This window comes from Homo sapiens, chromosome 1 (assembly GCF_000001405.40).
Source record: "Homo sapiens chromosome 1, GRCh38.p14 Primary Assembly".
NCBI classification, from domain to species: Eukaryota; Metazoa; Chordata; class Mammalia; order Primates; family Hominidae; genus Homo; species Homo sapiens.
The window spans coordinates 144,781,565-144,788,856 of record NC_000001.11 but is presented as its reverse complement, the minus strand read 5'-3'; the positions used below and the strand labels follow the sequence as shown (position 1 = coordinate 144,788,856).

At 54.5% G+C, this 7,292-nt stretch overlaps 1 pseudogene; it reads left to right on the top strand.

The window, feature by feature from the left end:
• The first annotated feature begins 1,371 nt into the window (after positions 1 to 1,371).
• LOC100996737 (proton channel OTOP1-like) overlaps positions 1,372 to 7,292 on the top strand; it is a 34,019-nt pseudogene continuing 28,098 nt past the window's right edge.

The window sequence follows — 7,292 nt, the reverse complement described above, 5'->3', positions numbered from 1 at the left end:
CCAGACCCCTGCTCCCTTCCACCTGGCCATCCACTCCTAAGCCTAAAGAATGTGCAGGAGGCTGGACGTGGTAGCTGGAGCCTGTAATCCCAGTGCTTTGGGAGGCTGAGGTAGGAGGATGGCTTGAGCCCAGGAGTTTGAGATCAACCTGAGAAACACAGCGAGACCCCTGTCTCTACAAAAAACAATTTTAAAAAACTGAGCCAGGCGTGGTAGCACACACCTGTAGTCCCAGCTATTTGGGAGGCTGAGGTGGGAGGAGCACTTGAGCCCCAGAGTTCGAGGCTGTAGTGAGCTATTATCACACCACTTCATTCCAGCCTGGGAGACATAGGGAGGCCCTGTCCTTATTAAAAGATAAAAATAAAATAAAGAAAGAAAGAAGACTGTGCAGGTGTTGCCTCCTCCCTGAACCTCGCAGCCTTCCTGCAGACCTGGGCTCCTCCCAGGCCCCTGGTGGTAGCCCTGCTCAAGGGTGCTGTGCTGCTTACTCTGTCCCCACCCCCAAGCTCTTAGAAGTTGAGGGCTAAGTCTCACAGGTCACGCTCCCCAGCTTCCCAGTCAAGGCTCATTAGCTGTTTGTTTATTGCTGTTTCTCTACCTGAACATCAGCTCCACCTGAACAGAGCCTTTCATAGCTGAAACCCCAGCGCCTACAACAGAGACCAGCAAATGATTCATAGGTCAACACATACATGTGTGTTGATCAAATGAATGAATGCATGAATTGGAAGAATGATGGCGGCAAGGCAAGGTCCCCCAGGTTGACTTCTTGCCGGCCCAGGACTCCCCACCCCTCCTTTACTAGTCAGGACCTGCTATTGCAATTTGCTGCGCTTAGCGCAAAACAAAAACCTGGGCCCTCTTGTTCAAAAATTAAGAATTTCAAGACTGCAAGAGCCTTAAACCAAGAGGGAGAGGGTGTCTTCCGGGGCCCAGCCCCGGGCTGCTGCATGGTGGGATGGGGGCTCGCCCCAGGCTCGCTCCCAACTCCCCTCTCCAACCTGCAGCTGGGGGGCTGGGGTCCACCGCCTCCTGTCAGCCACGCCCGACCGGTAGAACGCTCTTCTGCAGAAACTTCCCAGACCTCCACTTAATGGCACCCGAGCAGGGCGCCCTGGCAGACGCAGTCTCCTTCCGGGAGCAGGCAGGTGCAAGGCAGGCACCGGGGCTTTGGAAGGGGCTGGTGGAGATGCTTGGGCGCCGGTTGCCCCAGGGCAGACCCTGGGGCCTCCCTCATTCCAGCTCCTCTGCGTCCAGAATGGCTGCCGCTCCTTTGGGGGAGGGTGCGGGATGGTCTCTTTTCTTAGAAAGTGGCTCAGGTCTTATTCTGCGCCTGGGCGTCTCGCAGCCGACACACAGGCACACCAGATGGACAAACAGAAAAACCCACAGAAGGCGGCCCCTCCCCCAATTCAGAGAGCCAGTGACTGGCGCTCCTCCACCCCTAACCAGACACACCCGAAAACAGACGGCCAGACACAGAGTGACCGGCACAGAGAAGACAATACAGAAATACGCAGGGACAAGGACAGACCATCGGACGCTCGGACACGGACCCAGGCAGGATCACCTGGACCTCTGGGTTCCCCAACGGAGACCCTCGGGGAAGGCCCGGAGCATAGCACGCCCCTGTGGAGCCCCGTGCGCCCCACTTGGCAGCAGCCACGCCCCCCGCGCACACCCCACTTCGGGCTGGCTCTGGAAGACCCCCTCTCCCCAGCCCCGCAACCCCGGGACTCTGGGAGGCATCTCTCGTCACCCAGCGTTTCTGAGGCGCCGGGACAGGGGCTGGGTGGGTGGGCGTCGGCGCAGGAGTGAGGGCTGCAGACGGTGGGCGGGGGCCGGGCGCGCGGGCGGAGGTGCGGGAGGACGCGCTAGTGTCGGGGCAGGGCTGGCCAGTGTCCCAGGGATCAGGAGCCGGGAGCGGTCCGCGTGGGTCCCGGAGGGGACAGATGGCTGCCCCGGGCGTTGCCCAGTGAGGGGCAGTGGGCAAGGGAGCTCGTAGAATCCCGGGTCAGCGGGGTGGGGCGCTGGGTAAGTGGACAGGGTGGTACCTTGACTGAGGACGAAGGGGCAGAAGAGGGGAGGGCGGGCGTCGGGAAGTGACAGGAGACGGGGCAGGTTGTTGGGGGCGTGGGGTAGGAATCGGAGGGGAGTTGAAAAGGGGGGTGCTGGTTGGCAGAGGCGTCGGGGCAAGGACAGGAGCCAGGAGCGCAGGCGGGGCCCGACGGCAGCCACCCCCGGGGCCAGACTTGGCGCGGGTGTCTTGAAGATGCTTGAGGGCCTGGGGTCGCCCGCCTGGCCCCGGGCAGCTGCGAGCGCCTCAGTCGCGAGGTCATCGGGGCCCGCGGCCTGCCCGCCTCCCTCGCCGTCGGCCCCGAGGTGCCCGGAGTCCCCGGCCCCCCGGAGGGGCGGTGTGCGCGCCAGCGTCCCACAGAGGCTGGCCGAGATGCTGAGCAGCCAGTATGGGCTGATCGTGTTCGTGGCGGGGCTGCTGCTGCTGCTGGCCTGGGCCGTGCACGCCGCGGGCGTGAGCAAGAGCGACCTGCTGTGCTTCCTGACGGCGCTCATGCTGCTGCAGATGCTGTGGTACGTGGGCCGCAGCTCCGCGAACCGCCGCCTCTTCCGCCTCAAGGACACGCACGCCGGCGCCGGCTGGCTGCACCGGCTGGTGAGTCCAGGCACCGGGCAAGCGGGTCTCTGCCTCCTCGCCCGCTGGCTGCATCCTGAGACGGCTCTGCCCCCTTCCTACCACTGCCGTCTTCCCTTCAGCCTTTTCTGCCTTGGTCTCTCTGTGCATCTTTCCTAGCTTTCCTATCTGCCCTTCCTTCTTTCCTCTCTCTCTCTCTCTCTGAAGCCTGGGTCGTCGCAGGAGCCTCCTCTCCGCCTCCAGACGCTTCCATCATTACAGCCACAGTTACAGAAACCTCTCCTGTCCTTCCCTGGCTTAAAGCCATACAGTGGCCCTACTGACCCCATGAGGGAGGTCACGCTCCCTCTCCTGACACTCAGAGCCTTCTAGCACCCGGCCACCGAGGGCCCGTTTCCTTTGATCCCCTTCTTTGTTCTCATCCTATGCTGGGGTCATTCTCGAGGACTTTCTCTCCTGTCGCAGGATCTCTGCCTCTGCACATTCAGCACCTTTGGTTCCCTCCTCCAGGAATGTCTTTTCCACTCTCCCACCTGCCCCTCTGCTTTCCGAGACAGGCCTCAGGCCTCACCCCATTCTCCCCGCGAAGCTTCTCCGACCCCCTTCTCTTCCCCGCTTTGCAGGTCTGACCGCACGCTCCCAGCCCGCACTGGGTTCCAGTGTTCTTGTCGACATGTCTGTACCCTCCACTCCACTGGGGAGCTCTGTGATCCCTGTCTCTCGGTCCTAGAGCCACCTCAGGGCCTGGCACAAGTGGGTGTTGAGAAAATGAGGGGGGATGAATGATGTAATGAATGCGTGGATGCAGGGTGGGGCAGAGAGGGATAGAGGCTCCTGCTGGTACTCACGGGCATTGGCTGAAATCGTCAAGATAGGAGCTCTTCCTTTCTCAAGGGGCTGCCACATCTTTTTTTTTTTTTTTTTTTTTTTTTTTTTTTTTTTTTTTTGAGACAATGTTGCTCTATCTCCCAGGCTGGAGTGCAGTGGCACAGTCACAGCTCACTACAGCCTCTTCCTCCTGGTCTCAAGCAATCCTCCCACTTCAGCCTCCTGAATAGCTGGAACTATAGGTACACATGGCCTTGCCTGGCTAAGTTTTGTTATATTTTGTACAGATAGAGCCTCGTTGTGTTGTCTCCTGTTCTCAAACTCCTGGCCTCAAGGGATCCTCCTGCCTTGGCCTCCCAAAATGATAGGATCACAGGCATGAGCCACTGTGCCTGGCTGGGGTTGCCAGTCTTGAATGGGAGACAGACATGGTGCAGGTGAAAGGGAGGAGGCCGTGGGGAGCATGCTTGTGAAGAAAGCTTCTGTCTGAGTAACCTTCCCAGGAGAAGCCGACTGCATTTCACACCACGTGGTCCAGACACATCACACATTGCCACTTGGATTCTCATATTAGACCTGAATTTAAATCTCCATTAGAGTGGGGCTTCCGTGTTCCTTGCATGCATGACCTCGGGCAAGTTGCTTGATTGCCTTCCTTACCCTGAACCCTGGTGTCGGCATCTGTAGAATGGGGATCTCACACTGGATAGGATCCAGTGATTGATGAGGTGGCTGCCCAGCACACACTAGGCCTCCTTTCTGCACTTCTTTCAAAGGTCCTGGCCAGATGCCACCTTCTTCACAAATGCCTGGCAGGAATTACTCCTCACTTCCATGGGCCACCATGGCCCTCCTTCTGTAAAGCTCTTTTGGTCCTTGTCTGTTTCTGCCTTGTATTATGACTGTTGAATATTAGCCTTATCATCCAGAAGAGATTTTAGACTTCTTAGGCTCAGGGACTGGATCTAGTTCATCTTGCTTTTGGGGAAATTTGACACCATTGCAGGGTGGCCCAAATTCCTGTTCTGAAATTGGTTGTTTTAGGGAAGTTAATGGTTTTGTGACTCTGTGAATGACAGTGAATCTGGTGCTATTTAAAACAAGGCACAAAGTGTTATTTTAGGATATTGACTTACACAGGCTAAAAAGTATTATACACATGAGCCTTTACCTGTGTTTTCCTACAGTCAAAGCCCCCTTGTTTGTTCCTCACTTCTTTTTCTCCTCCATCCTTTTTTCTCCCTTCTTCCTTCCCTCTTTCTCCTTTCCTTTCTTCCTCTTCCCTCCCTCCCTATTCCCTCCCCTTCCCTTTTCTCTCCCTTTTCTTCCTTTTTATCTTTTTTTTGAGATGGAGTCTTGCCCTGTCACCCAGGCTGGAGTGCAATGGTGCGATCTCGGCTCACTGCAACCTCCGCCTCCCGGGTTCAAACGATTCTCCTGACTCAGCCTCCCAAGTAGCTGGGATTATAGGCGCTTGCAACCATGCCCAGCTATTTTTTGTATTTTTAGTAGAGACGGGGTTTCATCATGTTGGCCAGGCTGGTCTCGAACTCCTGACCTCGTGATCTGCCTGCCTCAGCCTCCCAAAGTGATGGGATTACCAGTGTGAGTCACCATGCCCAGCCTCCCTTTCCTTATTTTTTTCCTCATTTTCTTTCTCTCTTCTCCTCCTTCATTCTTCCTTCCTCTCTTCCTTCCTCTAGCCTTCCCTCCACTATCCCTCTTCCCTCTCTCCTCTCTTTCTCTTCCTTCCTCTCTTCCTCTCTCCTCTGCTGTTTTTGTTTTTGTTTTTGAGATGGAATCTCACTCTGTTGCCAAGGCTGGAGTGCAGTGGCTAGATCATGGGTCACTGCAACCTCCATTTCCTGGGTTCAAGTGATTCTCCTGCCTCAGCCTCCTGATTAGCTGGGACTACAGGTGCACATGCCACCACACCTGGCTAATTTTTGTATTTTTTAGTAGAGACAGTGTTTCACCATGTTGGCCCAGTTGGTCTCAAACTCCTGAGCTCAGGTTATCTGCCTGCCTTTGCCTCCCAAAGTGCTGGGATTACAGGCATGAGACACCACGCCCAGCCTGGTGCATTTAGAATGTGCCTCCTTCTCCTTCTCCTCTCCTTCTCCCCCTCTCCCTCCCCCTCCCTTCCCCCTTCCCACCCTCCCCTTCCCCCTCCTCCTCCTCCTTCTTCTTCTTCTTCTTCTTCTTCTTCTTCTTCTTCTTCTTCTTCTTCCTCTTTCTTCTTTTTTCTACTCAGTCTATCCTTATCCAAGGAATGCTCTTCTTTATATTGAAGTGCAGTTAACTTCCCAGAACCATCATCCTCTTCCCTGGAGCTTCTATCATCATTCACTTATTTATCCACCATGCATCCATCCACCCATCCACACTTATTCATCATCCATCCATCCATCTATCCTTCCATCCATCCATCCATCTGTCCATCCATCCATCTGTGTTTTTTTGTTCTTCCTCTCTCTCTGCCTCCTTTCAGGTTGACTCCGAGCATTGGCGCCTGAGTCTATGGGTGAATGGTTGCACCATTTCCCAAGATTGGGAAGCCAAAGGGAAGAGCAGGGTGGGGACACAAAACCAATGACATGTTACAGTTCTCTTATGGACATGCTACATTTGAGGTGTCTTTGGGACACTAAGTAGAGAGGGAATAAATGGGCAAGGTAGAGAGAGCACGTGATAGGTGTTCAGTAGGTGGTAGCTCTTTAGACATTCAGTGAGTTGCCCCATAATAATGTAATTCAAGTGAGGTGTGTGTATCATGGAAATGGTGTTGGCTCTGGAGGGCTTGGCTTGAGGTCTCAGCTCTGTCACCTTCACCTTTCTGAGTTCTGCTTTCCTCATCAGTAAGATAAGAATCCCAGTCGACTCTCTGGGAGGAGCTGGGGGATGTTGAGAGAAGCAGTTTGCAAAGCCCTGGCCATTCCTGTGGGTTCCTCAAAGAAGCAAGACGCTAATTATTAGTGTCGAGAGGCCCCGACGCCAAAAGGAAGCACCTTCAGCCCCAACAGGGACTGGGGTTTCCTCTGGAATTCTAGCTGGAAAGACAGGTTTGACCCGGGAACTCAGCTCTGCCCTGGTGTTGGTGACAATCTTAGATCAATAGGCAGAGGGCAAGTCCCTCAGGAAAAAGACCAGTGATCCTCAAGATCCATTCTGGGGCCACTATGAGGGTCTTGCTTAACTGCATGCATTTTCTTACTTATTTCTTTTCTTAGATGATATTTCTGGTCCAATGGAAAATATAGACATAGTGTCACGATTTCAACACAAACGAGCGAATGTGGCTGCCAAAAAATCAGATGCAGGCTTGGCTTTCATTGGAAAGGAAATCAGACTGTGTGTGGAGGGTCTCATCCTCCTTGAGCATTTCACAGGCCCTTGGAAAGAGTGGCGGCAGGAGGAGCAAAAGGAGGTTCAGTCCAGAAGAGAGAAGGATGCGGAGGTCACAGGGTAGAAAGTGCTGCTGCCTTGCACCTGTCAGCTCCAGGCCATCCTCTGTCTTTCAGCAAGTAAGAGTCATTTCCTCTGGGAAGCCTCTCCCGATAGTTTCAGACCAGGGGAAGCCCCCATGTTGTATGGTCTCATAGCACTCTTCATTTTCTTTCTAGCACTAATCAAGCAGGATATTGTATTATTCAGTGACTGTTGGGGTAGCCAGACTGAGCCCCTAAAGGCAGAGACCCTGTCTGAATGTGCTTACCATTGTATCCCGAGCTCCTGGCACAGTGCCTAACATGTAGTAAATGCCAATTCCTAGCTACTGAATAATTGGATGATTGAATGATTGGGTGGATGG